Below are 20,875 nucleotides of genomic sequence, written 5' to 3'. Positions count from 1 at the left end.
GTGGCCTACACTCCCCGCTGGCCATTGAGCAGGTGGCTTGCCATTCATTTAGTTATCCCGTAACAATGGCAACCACACAGTAAACACCAAGACCCAGGCATTGTACCAGGGGCTCTCTGCACACTTGCTCATTTAATTCAGACAACCTGTAAAATAGGTGATGCTGTCCCCATACAAGTATAGTAAGCATCAAGAGAGCTAAGTCATTTGCCCAAGGTCATTCAGCTAAAAACTGGTAAACACAGGATTAAAGTCTAGTCTAACTCCAAGCCAGGTGCAGTGGCTCACACCTGTAATCTAGCACTCTGGAAAGCCAAGGGGCGCAGATTATTTGAGGTCAGGAGTTCGACACCACCCTGGCCAACAAGGTGAAACCCTGTCTCTACTAAAAATACAAAAATTAGCTGGGAATGGTGGCACACGCCTGTAGTCCCAGCTACTTGGGACGCTGAGGCAGGAGAATCACTTGAACCCGGGAGGTGGAGGTTGCAGTGAGCTGAGATCACACCACTGCACTCCAGCCTGGGTGACACAGCAAGACTCTGTCTCAAAAAAAATAAAATAAATTTTAAAAGTCTAACTCTAAAGCCCCTAGGAAAGCAGTCACAATGCTACAGGTCAGAGGGAAAGGGAGAAATATCTGGTCTAAGTCCATCCTTGTACTTAACACGGAGACTGAGGACCAGAGAGGGGCTTGACTTGCCCAAGGTTATGAAACAAATTAGTGGCTGAGCCTGGACTCAGCCCATCTCCAAGGTAACCATTAAGATAATCCCGCTGCTCTAATCAGCCAAACCATCTGTAGAAGAATAAGGCTCTTTGGGAAGAGGATGGGAGACATATTTTCTGGCTGGTACAAAATAAGGACACCATATAGAATGAAATAGGCATGCCAAAGACCTGGCATAACTGTAGATTTCTGTCTACTTGGATGCTCCAAGCATGAGGTTTTTTGTTTGTTTGTTTGTTTGTTTTGAGACAGAGTATTTACTCTTGTTGCCCAGGCTAGAGCGTAGTGGCACAATGACGGCTCACTGCTACCTCCACCTCCTGGGTTCAAGCGATTCTCCTGCCTCAGCCTTCCGAGTAGCTGGGATTACAGGCATGCGCCACCAGACCCGGCTAATTTTGTATTTTTAGTAGAGACAGGGGTTTCACCATGTTGGTCAGGCTGGTCTTGAACTCCCAACCTCAGTTGACCTGCCTGCCTCAGTCTCCCAAAGTGCTGGGATTACAGGTGTGAGAGACCGTGCCCAGCCAGGAGAGTTTTTTTGTTGTTGTTATTTTAAGAAAATTGAAAAGGAGGTAGAAGAAAACCAAGAGAAAAAAAAAAAAAAGACAAAGCAGCAGCATGAGAGAGAGAAGAGAGGAAACAAGAAAGAGACAAAGGAGAGAGAGGCACAGGGTAGAGTGGATGAGCCCACCAATGAGAAAATGAGCTCACCTTTGTTGCCCAAATCAGGTAGGGTCAAAGGCAAACAAGGGGAACAGACTCACAGTCATTGAGTTAGATATGGAATTGGGTAGGAGAAGAAAACAAGGAAGGAAAGCAGTACCGCCTCAATCTCTTTGTTCATCTCATCTTTAAGGATCTTGTTCTCTTTGTCACAGCGTTCTAGCTGGGCAGCTACTTCATCAGCCTCCAATCTGGTCTTCATCACCTAGGGACCAACAACACTGTGGTTCATCTTAGGTAGAGCCACGTTTTGATGAAAACCATCTTCCATACCCAACCCTCCCTGGGAGTGGCCTGGTAGGGAGCCCCCAGTCTGATGGGGGCAGGGAGGGCACTGCTCAGAAGGGCCAGGGCCCCAGTGAGGCCTACCTGACTCTTATAGTTGTCAATCATCCCCTCATAGTTCTTCACTGAGGCCTTCAGCTGCTGGACCTCGAGGTGTGCCTGGTTGAGTTTGTCCTCCATTGGAGCAAAGCTGGCCTGGAAGGGATGGCTCATGAGTAACCCACAGGAAGGTTCTGCTTCAGGTGGACCTCCTACCCTCAACTCTATCCAAAGAACCAGAAAAGGAAAGGCCCCCTACTCTAACCCACAGAGCACTTTCCCTGAGAGAAGCACCGAGAAGCAGGTAAGACTCCTAATGTTACCACCTCAAGTGAATAGAGATGCAAATAAATGACTTCTGTTTTTTCTTAATCCAAAAGCAATATATAATCATTAAAGAAAATGGGGATAAAACCAGGCCGGGCGCGGTGGCTCACGCCTATAATCCCAGCACTTTGGGAGGCCGAGGTGGGCGGATCACAAGGTTAGGAGATCAAGACCATCCTGGCTAACACAGTGAAATCCTGTCTCTACTAAAGGTACAAAAAATTAGCCGGGCGTGGTGGCGGGCGCCTGTAGTCCCAGCTACTCGGGAGGCTGAGGCAGGAGGATGGCATGAACCCGAAAGCGGAGCTTGCAGTAAGGTGAGATCGTGCCCCTGCACTCCAGCCTGGGCGACAGAGCAAGACTCCGTCTCAAAAAAAAAAAAAAAAAAGAAAATGGGGATAAAACCAAGACACACTAATCCTAATGCTTAATGACTTGGATATGGCTATATATCTATAGCTGCATAACTTTTTCGTTTCTGTCAAAAAGAATGAGACTATACTATACTTACTGCTATGTAACATAGTTTTTCCCCACCATGGGATCTGCCAGGTTGTATGTAACATACTTTTTATTTGTTTATTTTTTTTTGAGATGGAGTCTCGCTCTGTCACCCAGGCTGGAGTGCAAAGGCACAACCTTGGCTCAATGCAACCTCCACCTCCCAGGTTCAAGCTATTCTCCTGCCTCAGCCTCCAGAGTAGCTGGGATTACAGGGACACACCACCACCCCCACTCCGGCTAATTTTTTATATTTTTGGTAGAGATGGGGTTTTACCATGTTGGCCAGGCTGATCTCAAACTCCAGACCTCAAGTGATCCGCCCACCTCGGCCTCCCAAAGTGCTGGGATTATAGGCGTGAGCCACCACATCTAGCTGTAACACACTTTTAAAATTAACAATATGTTGTGGGCCGGATGTGGTGGCTCACACCTGTAATCCCAGCACTTTGGGAGGCCAAGGTGGGCAGACCACGAGGTCAGGAGTTCGAGACCAGCCTGGCCAATATGGTGAAACCTCATCTCTACTAAAAATACAAAAATCAGCCGGACGTGCTGGCATGTGCCTGTAGTCCCAGCTACTTGGGAGGCTGAGGCAGAAGAATCACTTGAACCTGGGAGGTGGAGGTTGCAGCGAGCTGAGATTGCACCACTGCACTCCAGCCTGGAGGTCTGGAGTTTGAGATCAGCCTGGCCAACATGGTAAAACGCCATCTCTACCAAAAATATATTTAAAAAAAAAAATTATGTTGTGAACTTCTCTCAAGTCAATGAATGTCCTCTCAACTTATAATGCAGGTGGGAAATTTTAAAAATAAATAAATAAATAAATAAATGTCTTCCTATAACCCAATTATTCATCTTAAATGGGACAATATAAATCATGGTGTATCAAATGAATAAAGTAACTAGTAGTCACTTAAAAGAGAGATAAAGCTCAAAAAACCAACCTTAACAGATGTCCGTAAATATAGTTAAATCAGAAAAGCAAGTGACAGAATAATGGATGGATGAGTGGATGTGTGTGTGCTTGATATGTTAGTACTGGGGGATAATCTAGAAAAATATATGTTCATGGCTAGCGAAGATCTTCATGTCTACATCACATTTCTGTAATGTTTTGAATTTTTACTATGAGCATATTTAACTTTTATAATTATACTAGGAAAGGCCAGGCGTGGTGGCTCACACCTATAAACCCAACACTTTGGGAAGCCATGGCAGGTTGATCACCTGAGGTCAGAAGTTCGAGACCAGCCTGGCCAACGTGGTAAAACCCTGTCTCTTACTAAAAATACAAAAAATTAGCGGGGCATGGTGGTGGATGCCTGTAATCCCAGCTACTTGGGAGGCTGAGGCAGGAGAATCACTTGATCCTGGGAGGTGGAAGTTGCAGTGAGCTGAGATCATGCCACTTCACTCCAGCCTGGGCAACAGAGCAAGACTCTGTCTCAAAAAAAAAAAAATTAGACTAGGAAAATATACTTCTACAAACATCATTTTGAATGACCACACTGTAATACACTATACAGATGCACCATACTATAACTAATCCCCTAAATAGTTGTTGGCTTTTAAAATTTTTTTGTAGAGATGGGGTCTTGCTGGGGTTGCCCAGGCTGGTCTAGAAGTCCTGGCCTCAAGCAGTCCTCTCACATTGAGATTACAGGTGTGAGCCACCATGGCTGGCCTCCTAAATAACTGTTAAGACGTGCATGTTATTTTTAACTTATCCGACAATTACACTATACAAATGAGATACTACTACACTCCCACCGGAGTAGCTAACATAAAATAAGACACTCAATACCAAGCTACCAAGCGTTGCCAAGGAGGCAAGGAGCAACTGTTATCCTTTTACTCACCACTGACAGGTGTGGAGATTTGTTCAACTACTTTACTATTCAGTAACATCTACCAGTAACTACTTTACTACTCAGTGACACACTTTACTATTCAGTGACATCTACCAAATATAGACTTAATGCACACCCCATGATGACCTGGCAATTCTACTTCAAGGTATATAAACAATAAAGACGCACCAAATGTGTACACCTAAAGACATACAAAGATGTTCACAGCAACACTATGGAAACCCAAATGTCCACTGACAGTAGAATGGACAAATATACTGTGGTGTGTTCATATAACGACATACCCTAGAGCGCTGAGGATGAATAAACTCCTCCAAACAATGGGGCTGACTCAACAAACTTGCAGAGTAGACGCCAGGCCCAGGGATATTCAAACTATTCAAATCTCTACAGTTAAAAGCAGGCAACTAATTTGTGGTGACAGGAGATGGGCTAGCAGTTACCTTTACAGGGGTATTAGTAACAAGAAAGGTCACTAGGGTGCAGGCAAGGTTCAATCAGAGTGAGTGATGGACAAAGTATATTCACTTTATGAAAATTCTAGGATCTGTGTACTTTTCCATATGTTATTCTTCCTTAAAATCAATCTTAACAAGAAAAAACAAAATCAGTGAAAAAATAAAGCTAGATGTTATTGCCCAGATCAACAAAAGAGCAAGATAAAACCTGTCTCTGAAATGTCAACCTCTGCTCAGGTGCCTCTCACTCCTGGCAGGCTGGAAGTGGGTATGGTGAGTTTAAGAGCTAGGGCTCGAGTCAGACTCGGGTTCAAATCTCAACTCTGATACTTCCTAGGGCAAAATCTTGGCAAGACACTTGACTTCTCTCTCAGCCTCAGTTTCCTTATTCTCATTTCTTTTCTTTTCTTTTGAGACGGAGTTTCGCTCTGTTGCCCAGGCTGGAGTGCAGTGGCGCAATCTCGGCTCACTGCAACCTCCACTTCCTGGGCTCAAGCAATTCTCCTGCCTCAGCCTCCTGAGTAGCTGGGATTACAGGCACACACCACCATGCCCAGATAATTTTTTTTGTATTTTTAGTACAGACAGGGTTTCGCTATGTTGGCCAGGCTGGTCTTGAACTCCTGACCTCAGGTGATCCGCCTGCCTCAGCCTCCCAAAGTGCTGGGATTACAGACGTGAGCCCGGCCCCTTATTCTCATTTCAAATGGAGATAATCATCATGTTACTGGCAGGTTGGACAGTTTAAGTGAGAATTAATGCCTGTGAAGGGGCCCAGCAGGCCCCCAGGAGAGCCCACATTAACCTCAAATGAGTTCTATCTCATGTGCGCAGGCTGAGTACACCATGTTAAGCATTTCACATGCGTTACCACATTCTCACAAGGACCTCATTTCCTCTACCTAAGGAAGAGGCATGGAATGTTTTTCACTCAGGTCCTACAGCCAGGAAGCAGCAGAGTAAGGACTTGAATCCAGGCTTTCTTTTCTTTTTTGACACAGAGTCTCTCTCTGTTTTCCAGGCTGGAGTGCAGTGGGGCGATCTCGGCTCACCACAGCCTCAACCTCCCAGGCTCAAGCGATTCTCCCAACTCAGCCTCCCGAGTAGCTGGGACTACAGGCGCATGCCTCCACGCCTGGCTACTTTTTGTATGTTTTGCAGACACAGGATTTTGCCATGTTGCCCAGGCTGGTCTCGAACTAGGCTCAAGTGATCCACCTGCCTTGGCCTCCCAAAGTGTTGGGATTACAGGCCTAAGCCACCATGCCTGGTCAAATCCAGGCTTTTCTGACTCCCTCTTAGTCAAGATGCCCCCAGGCCCACGTAAGACAAGACCCCTCATCAGCTCGCTGGGCCCCATCCAGCTGCCTGGTCCCCAGCTCTCACTGCGAACCTTCAGCCTCTCATTCTCCAGCTTGAATGCGGAATACTCAGCAGTCTGACGGTGTAGTCTCTCCACCAGGCTATCCCGGTCTTCCCGCATCTTCTCCTCCAGGGTTTGTTGTTGGTTTACAAGATCTGTTACCCGGCTGGAAGATCACAAAGTGAAAGCAGACAGAGAGAATCAATTACACAGGTTTGTTTGTGTGTGTGTGTGTGTGTGTGTGTGTGTGTTTTGTTTGTTTGTTTTTTTAGACGGAGTCTCGCTCTGTCACCTAGGCTGGAGTGCAGTGGCGCGATCTTGGCTCACTGCAAGCTCCGCCTCCCGTGTTCATGCCATTCTCCTGCCTCAGCCTCCCGAGTAGCTGGGACTACAGGCGCCCACCGCCACGCCCGGCTAAGTTCTTGTATTTTTAGTAGAGACGGGGTTTCACCGTGTTAGCCAGGATGGTCTCGATCTCCTGACCTCGTGATCTGCCCGCCTCGGCCTCCCAAAATGCTGGGATTACAGGTGTGAGCCACCGCACCCGGCCAATTACACAGGTTCTAAAGAACCCAGGTCTTTGTGTGGTGTGGGACCCAGCGTTCTCATCACTCAATATACTGCCTGCCTGCTCCCCAATCTCCACACTGAGAAGCAACTCTGCTGCCCTGCCTTGGCATTGCTGCTGTGGTACTCCCATGCCTGTCCCACCTCTGAACGACGTCCGTTAAGATGTGTCTCCCATACCTCCCCCTCCAAGAAACCATCTACAATTCAACAATAAGCAATGACTTATTAAGAGAAGTGTGGGCTGGGTGTGGCAGCTCACACCTGTAATCCCAGTGCTTTGGGAGGCCAAGGTGGGAGGATTGCTTGAGCCCAGCAGTTGAAGGTTGCAGTGAGCTATGCTGGTGCCACTGCACTATAGCCTGGGTGAAGGAGCAAGACCTTGTCTCCATTAAGAAAAAAAAGAGAGAGAGAGAGAGAGGGATGTGTACCCATCTTGATCCTCTCATAAGGCCAAGATACCCTTTGAAGGCAAGGACCAGAGACATGATCCCTTCCCAACTCCCTATGACACCTCCTGGAATCTCTCTGCCTATCAGGTCTTGGTGTTAGGACAGACGCTTCTGGAATCCCTTCTTGGACTCCCAGGCTGGTGGTCAGGGATTATCACCCAGGCATTCCTCTCCAGCAGGGCCCTGAGCACCCTGGGCTTTTGTACCCCCAGCAGGGGGCTGGTGCCATGATTGCTCATTCACATATGAACACTCACCTAACACAGGCAGGAACGGCAATGAGTGTGGTGTGGGAAAAAGGCACAAATAGAAAGACGCCAACTTAGAAGCCAGCTGCCTGCCCCACCCCCAGTCCCTTCTGCTCCCTGCTGCTGCCTCAGTCACTCAGCAAGGCCATCATCAGTCAAAGAGCAGAGACTGTGGCCTCAAGAGGAGCCCTGGGGCTCACAGGTGCTTACTCCTCTATCTTGACCACAGACCCATCAAAAACCCTTTGCACAATATGTGCTCTCAGTATTGACCAATTACAGTCCACCACTGAACACTGACTAGGCCCAAGCAAACATATCAGTTTGCTGGCAACTCCAGTTTACCTGGCAAACTCCTACTCACACTTAAAAACCCAGTTCAGACTTCAAGACATCTTGTCCCTGACCCCTCCCCTGTACCATGTATGCTTCTGTCTTAGGTATCTATGTTCTCCCACTAGACAGAGAACTCCCTAAGGACAGCAGCTGGCATAGAGCCTGGCACATAGTGAGTTCTCAGAACATGTTTGCTAAGTTGAGTTGAATACAGTAAGAGACTTTCCTGACCTGGGAGATTAAATGAGCTCCCCCATGACCTATCCTTAGTCCAGGGAGTCCATGCCTCTTGTAGCCCTATCTCCTCTACAGAGTAGAGGGCAGGGAATGCATTTGTCTTCTTACTGCTGTAACCCTGGTGGCCAGCACACAGCAGCTTGGTATATGGTAGATGCTCAATATATGTTTTTCCAATAAATGAAGGAAAAAAGGAGAATGATGGAATGGTCACTATTCACAGTTCGCCAGTGGCAAGAAAGGTGTCAGCTCAGTCACTTGCAAATTGAGGCCACTTTTGCCCCCTACTCCCATGCCATACCACTGACCTACTGACTGGCAGGCACTGGCAAACAGCTGCTGTCCCTGGACAGACAACAGAGAGAAGACACTCGGGTCACCATCTGCCCCATTCCCCAATAGGAATGAGGACACCACGGTGCCCATTTCAAATGCTGTGTAGACTGAGGACAGGATCAGGCCCAGGTGATGAAGTCAGACCCACACCTCTGACCAGAAAGACCCGGCCCCTAGCCAGTGCCTGACAGTAGGGTAGGACCCCAGGACTAGGGCCAGAGCTTGCACCCCAGCTCCAACCAGAAAGCCCAGCTCAGGGCTACCCACATCACAGCCCAGTGCAGCCCCCAACCCGGAGAGTACAAACAGCAGCCACGTGGCCTTCCCTGAGCCACTAGGCCCCTCCCACCTGCACACCCAAGTCCCTCAACAGCGCCACATTCCCTCTCCTACTCTAAGACGTACTCATTCAGGACAATAATTTCCAGCTCAAGGTCTCCCTTTTCTTTTACAACTTGGTTGTAGCGGCTCCTCCAGGATTCCAGAGTGGATAAAGCTTCAGCGACATAAAGATCCTGGGAACACGGGACAAAAGGGCCTGTTAGCCTAGTGTCAGTGGTGAGGCTGCCAGGAGCTGGGAGCGGGCTCATCCTAGGTGGTTTCTCACCCTGGTAACCTAAACCTCATTCTGGAATTCACCTTTCTAGAGGGCGCTGGAAGCAACAGTGGGAGCCCAGCTAGTGCTCCCAGATTTCTAGCAATCAAATGCATCCTGTTTGTAAATCCTTCCTTAACCATTATTCTCACCCACAAAGCTGATGTGGCTGAACTCTCCTACAAAGCCTCCAATCATCTCCAGCCACCCATCCCTCCAGCTTTTACCCATTTGATCCCCTTAACTCCCTCTCCCTCCTCCCCAGCCATCTATCCTTTCCACCACTACCATCCCTCATCCACCCACCCCTCCCCGCTACCCATCTGGCTGACCACCCCTCTGCCATCACCCAGCCCTCCTCAGGGCAGGTGAGGAGCTGGGCACCGCGGGCCTGCGACCTTGTCAGCGAGTTGCACGTGTAGCTGCTCAGCATACTCCTCGCTCTTCTCGGCTCGCTCCTTCTGGGCTCGGATGGCCTTCTTCAAGCTCTCTTTGTCTCGGTCTCCCTTCTGCTTCAACTCCTTCAGCTGCTCCATGATGGCCTCCACTTCTGCCTTATGCTGATTCCCGCTGCGCTCCAGATTCTGGAAGGGGGAAGGGGTGAGAAAGAGAGGGAGAAGAGAGACAAGGAGGTTGTGGGAAGGCAAAGCAGAGGGTGAAGGAGAAAGGGAGGAAAAGGCAAGAGCAAAGAGGAAACGAGGAAGACAGAAAAAAGTGCTTAGCTGTGTGAGAGGCTCCCCTAACTCGGACCAGAGACACAGTCCCTCCCAGCTCCCCACGACACCTCCCTGGATCTCTCAGCCCATGGGGTCTTGATATTAGGTCAGAACTGCTCTGGAATCCTTCCCTGAACTCCCAGCCTTGTGGTCAGAGATAGTTCCTTGGTCACTCAGCAGAGTATGACCTCAGAGGACCCCTGGGCTACAAAGAGACCATCCCTTTCCCTTGGGTAATGAGGAGAACTGAGGGCCTAGGGGATTAAGTGATAGGCCTGGGGGGCATGGCACGCAACCCCGTCACTGTTGGGAAGGATGCCCAACACCTCCTGGGTCTCTGTCCATTGCTCTTGCCACTGTCCTGGAATGTCTCTGAGGCCTGAGTATTTTGTCATCAGCTGCCTCAGAAACCTTTGGAGGCACACTTCCTGAGTGTGATATCTGGGCCAGGCCGCTACCATCAAATTGGCAGGCCCTTGCCTCCTCTTTCCCCACTTGTGGGGCCAATAGGTACCTTAATCTGCATGCACAGGCGACTGTTCTCAGCCTCTTTGGACCGAAGCTGTGCCTGCAAATGCCCACGCATGGACTCCATGGATTTAGAAAGCTCAGAGGCTGTCTTTGCTTGAGCCTGTGGAGAGACGGAAAAAGTGATGGAGGCACAATTTTTTGTTTGTTTTTTTCATACGGAGTCTTGCTCCGTTTCCCAGGCTGGAGTGCAGTGGCGCAATCTCAGCTCACTGCAACCTCCACCTCTTGGGCTCCAGCGATTCTCCCGCCTCAGCCTCCTGAGTAGCTGGGGTTACAGTCACGTGCCATCAAAACCGGCTAGTTTTTTGTATTTTTAGTAGAGACAGGGTTTCACCATGTTGGCCAGACTGGTCTCGATCTCCTGACCTCAAGTGATCCACCTGCCTCGGCCTCCCAAAGTGCTGGGATTACAGGCGTGAGCCACCGCGCATGGTCAATAATTTTTTTTTTTTTTTTTGAGACAGGGTATCACTGTTGCCAAGGCTGGAGTGCAGTGGCGTGACCATGACTCATTGCAGCCTCAGTCTCCCAGGCTCAAGTGATCCTCCCATCTCAGCATCCAGAGTAGCTGGAACTACAGGTGCATGCCACCACACCTGGCTGATTTTTTAATTTTAATTTTAATTTTGTAGAGATGGGGTCTCCCTGTGTTGCCCAGGACAGTCTCAAACTCCTGGCCTCAATGAGTCCTCCTGCATTGGCCTCCCAAAGTGCTAGGGAGTGGCCTAGGCTGGTCTCGAAAAAGTGCCAGACATGAGCTACTGCACCCGGCCCAAAGACAGGATTTGAACCCAGCTCTCTGCATATCCATTATATTCTACTGGCTCATAAAAATGCACAACTGCGGCTGGGCGCAGTGGCTCATGCCTGTAATCCAGCACTTTGGGAGGCCGAGGCAGGCAGATCACGAGGTCAAGAGATCAAGACCATCCTGGCCAACATGGTGAAACCCCGTCTCTACTAAAAATACAAAAATTAGCTGGGCGTGGTGGCGCACGCCTGTAGTCCCAGCTACTCGGGAGGCTGAGGCAGGAGAATCACTCAAATCCGGGAGGCAGAGGTTGCAGCGAGCTGAGATCGCGCCATTGCACTCCAGCCTGGCGACAGAGCGAGACTCCGTCTAAAAAAAAAAAAAAAAAAAGCACACTACCTTCTCACATTGTATTTCCTGAAGGAGCTCTTCCACCTCCTTGTCCTTGTCTTGCAGCAGTAACAGCAGGCGCTGGGAGAGAACACAGGCTGTCAGGTGCCCCTGGGAAGGGCAAAGAGGCCCGGCCCAGGGAGGACAGAGATTTGTGAGTACCTGGCCACTGGGGCCCAAGGTCCTACATACATTGGCCCATGTCAGAGATTCTGGTAGGAAGCACCTAACATATGCATTAAAACATTTTTTTAAAACAATGAACATGTATTTATTTTGCAATTTAAGAACAGCAATGTTAACTGTAGAAAACATTGAGAACACACCAAAAAAATCCTCCAAAGAAACCCCGTAACCCCCCATGCAGAGATAACCAGTTAATGCACATTGAAACTCATATGCTCAGCACCGTTAAAAAAAAAAAGTCATATGCCTACTTCGTTCCATAGCCTAAAAGCTCATGTTTACCATAATGTGATTAAATCTTCTGTGTCTTTTGAAAGAGCTGCTTGACGGTTCAAGTTACTGATGTATATCATAACTTAACAAGGGTTCTTGAGCTGGGAATGCACATTTAGGCATTATCGCCGAGCTTGCTGCATCTCCACTCCTTCCTCAACTAAGCATCAGAGGCCACAGACCACACCTTGGGAAACTGGGCCTCCGTCTCCCTCCCCTCTCTTGGAGACTTACAAAAGCATTAATACAGCAGACACTCCAAAAAAGTCTTGAAAGAAGCTGTTGAACTTCATGTTCAGGCCAGCCTATGGTTTCCCAAATTTAACTGGCTATGGAACCTCCCCTTCGGTTTCTTGCACTCATTAACATCTTGAGGAACTTAGGGTTCCATGAACAGACTTTGGAACATGCTGCTTTGGGAGAGATTCCTAGAATTAGGATTACTGAGTCCAAAGGTGTGTACTTTTTGATGGCTTTGAATCCATAATACTAATTTGATGGAAATCCAGCTTTAACAGACACGGATGATTTACAAATCCAACATCATCATTACCCTCTCTATGTTGGTGTCCAGCTTTGTGGCTCAAGGTCTCAAGTAACTAACTAGACAAGCCTATCAGAACAAGCGTGACAGGAGGACATCAGCCCATTTTACAGATCGTGAAACTAAGACCTAGCGAAATGCTCCAGCCCTCCTGCCTTGATCCAAGCACCTCTACACTTTGTAGTGGAACGACGCTCTTGCCACCTGTACCCACTAGAGTAGACAAGGGCAGCCTTAGTTACCGCTTTCTCTGAGTCGGCCTCCGCCAGCCGTTTCAGCAGTGCTCCTTGTTGCTCCATTAGTCTTTCAGAATCCTTCAAAGAAAGGCAAAGGAAAAAGTCAAGTCATTAAGCAATAAACCCAGATGTCTACATTTTATTGATTCTTTACCTTTTCCAAAAATTGTATTTTTTTTTTTTTTTAGAGTCTTACTCTGTTGCCCAGGCTGGAGTGCAGTGGTGCAATCATGGCTCACTGCAGCCTGGTCCTTCTGGGCTCAAGCCATCCTCCCATCTCAGCCTCCAAAGTAGCTGGAACAACAAGCATGCACTACCATGCCCAACTTTTTAAACATTATTATTATTTGTAGAGTTGGAGGGTCTCCCTGTTTGCCCAGGCTGGTCTTGAACTCCTGGGTTCAAACAATCTGCCTGCTTTGGCCTCCCCAAGTGCTGGGATTACAGGTGTGAGCCACCACACCTGGCCCAAAAAACTGTAGTTCTAATTTGAAAAGTAATGTGAATATATTCTCACTATAAAATAGTGAATGCTAATAAAGCTACAGTTCCTCCTGTACCCACCTCCAAACCCTACCCTACTGCTATTAGTTTGAGGAGTATCCTTCCCATCCTTTTTCTCTACATCTACAGAGAAATACTGTATTTCTCTGTATTGAAAATACTGTACAGAATACTGTATTGAAATACTGTTTCTCTGTAATGAAACAGCATTTTGCTGCATCAAGAGAAATACTGTTTGTCTCTGGGGGAAGGGGAAAGGGATTCATGTGTAACTTTAGGAAAATAATATCATATTGTATTTATGTGTTAATTTTTTTTAATTTTTTTTATTTTTTAGAGAGGAAGTCTCGCTCTTGTCCCCCAGGCTGGAGTGCGATGGCACGATCTCGGCTCACTGCAACCTCTGCCTCCCAGGTTCAAGCGATTCTCCTGCCTCAGCCTCCCGAGTAGCTGGGATTACAGATAACTGCCACCACGCCCGGCTAATTTTTGTATTTTTAGCAGAGACAGGGTTTCACCATGTTAGCCAGGCTGGTCTCAAACTCCTGACCTCAGGTGATCTGCCCGCCTTGGCCTCCCAAAGTGCTGGGATTACAGGCGTGAGCCACCATGCCCAGCTGTTACTTGATTTTTAAAAACAGCTTTATTGAGATATAAATTTGAACACCATTTAAAGTGTACAGCATGGTGACTATAATTAATGATGTATTATATACTTGAAATCTGCTAGGAGATCTTAAGTGTTGTCACCACACACACACAAAAAGGTAACCATGTGACGTGATGGATGTGTTAATCAGCTTGATTGAGGTGGTCACTTTACAATGTATATGGGTATCAAATCATCACGATGAACATCTTAAAATGTATACTACTTCTGTTTGTCAAATATACCTCAATAAAGCTAGAAGAAAAAATAAAGTATACAATTAAATGGCTTTGGTATATTCCATTATTAACTTTTAAAAATTGTGGTAAAATATATGTAACATAAAACTTGTCATTTTAACCTTTTTATTTCTTTTAGAGACACAGTCTAGCTCTGTCACCCAAGCTGGAGTGCATGTTGTAATCATGGATCATAGCTCACTGCAACCTTGATATCCTGGACTCAAGTGATCCTCCCACCTCAGCCTCCTCAGTAGCTGGGACCACAGGTGTGTGCCACCACACCTGGCTAACCATTTTTAAGCGTAAAATTCAGTGGCATTTAGTATATTCATAATACTGTACAACCATCACCATTATCTAGCTCCACAACATTTTCATCACCCAAAAAAGAAACCCTGTACCATTAAGCAGCCATTCCCATTCCCTCCCACTCCTGCCCCTAGCAACCACTGATCTGCTTTCTGTCTCTAATATGCCATGGCATGTGGAACCTCTCCGTGTCTCTAATATGCCACTGCCATTTTTAACCTCTCCCCACAACCTCTGGACAATGAGGCTGTTCCCATGTTTTGCAACTACAAACACTGCAGCAATAGACGTTGCTGGGCATATACAAAGTGCCTCTCTAGGGATGATACCAAGAAGAGGAATGGCCAGGTCGGAAGGTCTGAGATTTGTGGCTGAAATGCCCTGCAAAATGCCTGCACCAATTCACTGGGCTACAAGCAGGACATGGGAGGACTCACTTCCCTGCACTCACCAGTACCAGGCAGCAGCCAACCTCTGCCTCTGTTGCCAGTCATCTGCCAACAGCACTCCTGCTGGTTTCATTTGCACTTCTCTAATTACCAGTGAGGATTAGCATCCTCTCATATGAGCCATTTGGGTCTCCTCTTGCCTGAACTTCCTGCTCCTGCCCTGGCCCATTTTCTCACTGGGCTATGTCTTTGTGACTGTCCCTATTTTTCTTTGGCACCTGAACAAAGTATCCCTTGAGGGAGGGACATCTTGTTCACCCTCTTTCCCTCTCAGACCCACAGATCCCCTTCATAAGCCCAGAGAAAAGGGCTCTCTGGTTCCCAAAGTTTCCTGGGCACCTAGGAACTGATAAAAGACAGTATTATGGTTTCTCTGGCAACAAGAGGCAAAGAACCTGGGACAGAAGGCTTGGCCACGGATGCAGAACCTGAGGCTGTTCTCACTGCCCTCCAGGCCTCCCCTGGGGCACTGAAACCACTGACCAACTCTTCTGCCATCCTATGTGCATGAACTCACCAAAGCCCCCTACTCTAAGAGCCATGCACTATCACTACCCCCATCTCAGAGGAGGAGACTAAGGCTGGGAGAAGTGAAGGCAAGTGAGGCCACACAGCTGGAAGGGGTAGTACTGGGCCCTGGAGCCGACTCGGACTCCAGAACCAGAGCAGTTCCCCACCACACTGAGCACTACCCAGCAAGCACCGAGATGGTGAGGGAGCCCTGAGCACAGATGGGCACCAAGGAGCTGAGCCTGGACAAAGCACAAAACACCACTTTTGGGTGGGAATTCAAATTAGCTGACCCTTCATCTCCAATTGAAGATGGGACTCCAGGATGACAGAAGCTAAGAAACCAAAAAAGGAGAAAACTGGCTAGAGCAAGAGGCTTTTTTTTTTTTTCCTTTTTGAGATGGAGTCTCACTCTGTCACCCAGGCTGGAGTGCAGTGGCATGATCTTGGCTCACTGTAACCTCTGCCTCCCGGGTTCAAGCGATTCTCCTGCCTCAGCCTCCTGAGTAACTGGGACTACAGGAGCGTACCGCCATGCCAGCTCATTTTTTTGTATTTTAGTAGAGATGGGATTTCACCGTGTTGCCCAGGCTGGTCTCAAATTCCTGAGCTCAGGCAATCTGCCCACCTCGGCCTCCCAAAGTGCTAGGATCACAGGCGTGAGCCGCCATGCCTGGCTTTCTTTCCTTTTTGAGATAGTGTCTGGCTCTGTCATCCAGGCTGGAGTGCAACAATTTCAGAAGCCGAGGCAGACAGATCACTTGAGGTCAGGCGTTCAAGACCAGCCTGGCCAACACAGCAAAACCCTATCTTTACTAAAAATACAAAAAATTAGCCAGGTGTGGTGATGCACACCTGTAATCCCAGCTACTCAGGAAGTTGAGGCAGGAGAATCGCTTGAACCCAGGAGGTAGAGGCTGCAGTGAGCTGAGATTGTGCCACTTCAGCCTGGGTGACAGAGTGAGACTCTGTATCAAAACAAACAAAAAAATTAATAAAGCTTCCCTCTGAGGGGAGGGAGACAAGGTTATTGCAAAATGACACACAAAAGGGAATCAACTATGTAGACACTTATTTTAAAAGCTGGGCGGTGAGTGGCCGGGCACAATGGCTCACCCCTGTAATCCCAGCACTTTGGGAGGCTGAGGCGGGTGGATTACCTGAGGTCAGGAGTTTGAGACCAGGCTGGACAACATGGTGAAACCCCGTCTCAACTAAAAATACAAAAATTAGCCGGGAGTGGCACCTGTAATCCCAGCTGCTTGGGAGGCTGAGGCAGGAGAATCTCTTGAACCCGTGAGGGGAAGGTTGCAGTGAGCTGAGATTGCGCCACTGCACTCCAGCCTCGGTGACAGAGCGAGACTCCGTCTCAAAAAAAAAGAAAAAAAAAAGCTGGGCAGTGAGGATACCACTTTACATTACTTGTTATATATATATATAATTTTTTGGGGGGACAGTCTAACTCTGTCACTCAGCCTGAGTGAGTGACACAATCTCAGCTCACTGTAGCCTTGACCTCCAGGGCTCAAGCAATCCTCCCACCTCAGCCTCCCGAGTAGCTAGGACTATAGGTGTGTGCCACCACACCTGGCTAAATTTAAAATGTTTTGTACAGATGAAGTCTCACTGTGTTGCCCCGGCTGGTCTCAAACTCCTGGCCTCAAGCAATTCTCCCACCTCGGCCTCCCAGAGTGTGGGAATTACAGGCGTGAGCCACCACACTTGGCCTTATTTTATATATTAACAGGTTTTTTTTTTTTTTGAGACAGAGTCTCGCTCTGTCACCCAGGCTGGAGTATAGTGGTGCAATCTAGGCTCACTGCAACTTCCCCCCTCCTGGGTTCAAGCAATTCTCCTGCCTCAGCCTCCCGAGTAGTTGATATTACGGGTACCCATCACATTTTTGTATTTTCAGTAGAGGTGGGGTGTCACCATGTTGGCCAGGCTGGTCTCGAACTCCTGACCTCAAGTGTTCCACCTGCCTTGGCCTCTCAAAGTGCTGGGATTACAGGCATGAGCCACTGCACCCGGCCAATATATTAATTTTTAAAGATAAGGCCGGGCGCGGTGGCTCATGCCTGTAATCCCAGCATTTTGGGAGGCTGAGGTGGGCAGATTGCCTGAGTTTAGGAGTTCGAGACCAGCCTGAGCAACACAGTGAAACCTCATCTCTACTAAAAATACAAAAATTAGCTGGGCATGGTGGCACGCACCTGTAATCCCAGCTACTCAGGAGGCTGAGGCAGGAGAATCACTTGAACTCGGGAGGCCAGAAGTTGCAGTGAGCCGATATCGTGCCACTGCACTCTAGCCTGGGCGACAGAGCAAGACTCTGTCTCAAGAAAAAAAAAAAAGATAAAAACAAGGTTGACAATGTTAAAACAAAACGAAACAAACAAAAAAACAGGGCTTGGTGTGGTGGCTCACGCCTGTAATTACAGCACTTTGGGAGGCCGAGGCAGGTGGATCACCTGAGGTCAGGAGTTCGAGACCAGCCTGACCAATATGATGAAACCCCGTCTCTACTAAAACTACAAAAAGTAGCCCGGTGTGGTGGCATGCACCTGTAATCCCAGCTACTAGGGAGGCTGAGACAGGAAAATCACTTGAACCCAGGAGGTGGAGGTTACAGTGAGCCAAGACTGTGCCATTGCACTCCAGCCTGGGCAAGAGTGAAACTCGGTCTCAAATAAAAAAGCAAAAATAAGAAGAACGTCACCATTTCATTAGCACTGGCATTTTGAGACTATTGTCATCTCTTTGCTTAGAACCAAGCAGGAGACAACCATTTATACTGTCAGTCTTTTCTGCAATATTTGCTAATATATCATCATTCACAATAGCCAAGATACGGAATCAACCTAAGTGTCCATCAACAGATGAATGAAGAAAACGCAGTAGAGATACACAATGGAATACTACTGAGCCTTCAAAAAGGAAATCCTTTCACAACATGCACAAAACTAGAGGATATTATACTCAGTGAAATAAGCTAGGCCCAGAAAGACCACATGACTTCATTTATATGTGGAACCTAAAGAAGTTGAACTCGGCCGGGCGCGGTGGCTTACCCCTGTAATCCCAGCACTTTGGGAGGCTGAGGTGAGCGGATCACAAGGTCAAGAGATCGAGACCATCCTGGCCAACATGGTGAAACCCTGTGTCTACTAAAAATACAAAAATTAGCCGGGCATGGTGGTGCACGCTTGTAGTCCCAGCTACTCAGGAGGCTGAGGCAGGAGAATCACTTGAAACCGGGAGGCGGAGGTTGCAGTGAACAGAGATCGCGCCACTGTACTCCAACCTGGGCGACAGAGCAAGACTCCATCTCAAAAAAGAAAAAAAAAAGAAGTCGAACTCACAGAAGCAGAATGCTGGTTGCCAGAGATGGAACTGGGGGGCATTGGGGAAATATTGGTCAAGGATATAAGATTTCAATTAGACAAGGAGAAATTGTTCAACATGGTGACTATAGTTACTGATGTGTATACTTGAAAATTGCTAAGAGATAATTTTAAGTGTTTTCACCACAAATATCTTAGTATGTGAGGCAATGCATATGTTGATTAACTTGACTTAGCCATTCTATATTGTGTACGTATGTCAAAACATGTTGTACATCATTAATTTTTATTTGACTATCAAAATAAGAAAAGAACTACAGTCATCCCTTGGTATTCATGGAGGACTGGTTCCAGGACATTCTGTGGATACCAAAATCCAAAGATGCTCAAGTCCCTGATATAAAATGGCACAGTATTTGTATATACTTGTGTACCTCCTCCCATATACTTTAAATCATCTCTAGATTATTTATAATACCTCATACAAGGTAAATGCTATGTAAATAGTTGTTATATGATTCAGGGGATAATATCAAGAAAAAGTCTATAGGTGTTCAGTAAATATGTAATTTTTTCCAAATATCTTCAATCCAAGGTTGGCTGAATCCACGAATGCAGAACCCACAGATACAGAGGGTCGACTATATTTGCTAACATATAAAGTTCAGACAACTTTTTTTTTTTTTCAGACAAAGTCTTGCTCTTGTTCCCCAGGCTGGAGTGCAATGGCACAATCTCGGCTCACTGCAACCTCCGCCTCCCAGGTTCAAGTGATTCTCCTACCTTAGCCTCCTGAGTAGCTGGGATTACAGGCACCTGCCACCAGGCCAGGCTCATTTTTGTATTTTTCAAGTAGAGATGGGGTTTCACCACGTTGGCCAAGCAGGTCTCGAACTCCTGACCTCAGGTGATCCGCCCGCCTCGGCCTCCCAAAGGCTGGGATTACAGGCATGAGCCACCGCACCTGGCCCAGACATGTTTTTTTTTTTTTAGATGGAGTCTCGCTCTGTCGCTGAGGCTGGAGTGCAGTGGCACAATCTCAGCTCACTGCAACCTCTGCCTCCTGGGTTCAAACAATTCTCCTGCCTCAGCCTCCTGAGGAGCTGAGATTACTGGCGCCTGCCACCACACCTGGCTGACTAATTTTTTTTTTTCCCCAAGATGGAATCTCGCTCTGTCGCCCAGGCTAGAGTGCAGTGACGCGATCTCAGCTCACCGCAACCTCCGCCTCCCAGGTTCAAGCAATTCTCCTGCCTCAACCTCCAGAGTAGCTGGGATTACAGGTGCACGCCACCACACCTGGCTAATTTTTGTATTTTTTTAGTAGATGGAGTTTCACTCTGTTGGCGAGGCTGGTCTTGAACTTCTGACCTCGTGATCCACCCTCCTCGGCCTCCCAAAGTGCTGGGATTACAGGCATGATCCACCGCGCTCAGCCTAATTTTTGTATTTTTAGTAGAGATGGAGTTTCACTATGTTGGCCAGGCTGTTCTCGAACTCCTGACCTCAAGTGATCCACCATGCCCACCCTCAGAGAACATATTTTAAGAAAACAAAATGAGACCACACGATTTGTGTCTGCCAGCCATTAATCATTCTCTTACTGAACAAAAAGCTCAGGTCTGGAACTCTCTTTTCTATGCCCTGGGCTGAACCCCTCCCTGACTCCCCCACTGCCCCTCTCCTGACTTTCAAGGTTGTTCCGGTGCTGCCTGGCTTGGATTCAACGGCATCTAAGATGGTACTTGTCTACTGGGTGCTGAGCACTTCATGTGAACAATTTCATTACATCTCTCTAAGGACCTCTCAGGTCGGGCACCAATCTTATTTTCTTTTTACAGACAAGGAGAAAGGCTCAGAGAGGATGGGCATGCAGAGCTGGAGGGAAAGAGCCAGGCCCCAAGCTCACCTCTTTGCAGTGCTGTTCCCTCAGGAGGTCTCGGAGGGTGCGGTTGGTCTCCTCAAATGTGCTCAGCTTCTGCAGGAGAAGTTCCTTCTGCCTTGTCAGGGTGTTGATGTCCGTGCAGGTCATTTGTTTCTCCTGGAAGACAAGTAGCCAGTCTTACAGATGCAGGGGGAGAAGGGAAGAAGCAGGCCCCATGGGCACTCAAGAGGTCTGGTGCCAGAAAGCCCAGACAAGGAGAACCAGGCTGTGTACAGTGCC

General features: G+C 47.8%; 1 protein-coding gene and 1 long non-coding RNA gene across 24 annotated transcripts in view; one reads left to right on the top strand and one right to left on the bottom strand.

Annotated features, from left to right (window-relative positions):
- The window catches only part of ODF2 (outer dense fiber of sperm tails 2), a 46,108-nt gene that overhangs the window by 6,931 nt on the left and 18,302 nt on the right, over nt 1-20,875 (bottom strand). For 22 of the 23 annotated variants that reach the window (NM_001351584.2, NM_153436.2, NM_001351577.1 and 19 more), the window contains 9 exon segments: nt 20,621-20,752; nt 12,711-12,782; nt 11,475-11,546; nt 10,308-10,424; nt 9,476-9,661; nt 8,888-8,997; nt 6,337-6,472; nt 1,826-1,936; nt 1,557-1,661 (listed from right to left, as the gene is read on the bottom strand). In NM_001351584.2, the coding sequence (NP_001338513.1) occupies nt 1,557-1,661; nt 1,826-1,936; nt 6,337-6,472; nt 8,888-8,997; nt 9,476-9,661; nt 10,308-10,424; nt 11,475-11,546; nt 12,711-12,782; nt 20,621-20,752 (1,041 nt within the window). 23 annotated transcript variants of the gene reach the window in all.
- LOC124902281 (uncharacterized) lies at nt 5,965-14,149 on the top strand. The gene is made up of 2 exons (XR_007061803.1): nt 5,965-6,519; nt 13,546-14,149. It is a non-coding gene; the product is annotated as an uncharacterized LOC124902281 (long non-coding RNA).

The sequence above is a fragment of the Homo sapiens genome, chromosome 9 (assembly GCF_000001405.40).
Source record: "Homo sapiens chromosome 9, GRCh38.p14 Primary Assembly".
NCBI lineage: Eukaryota > Metazoa > Chordata > Mammalia > Primates > Hominidae > Homo > Homo sapiens.
This window is presented reverse-complemented; position numbering and strand designations above follow the sequence as displayed.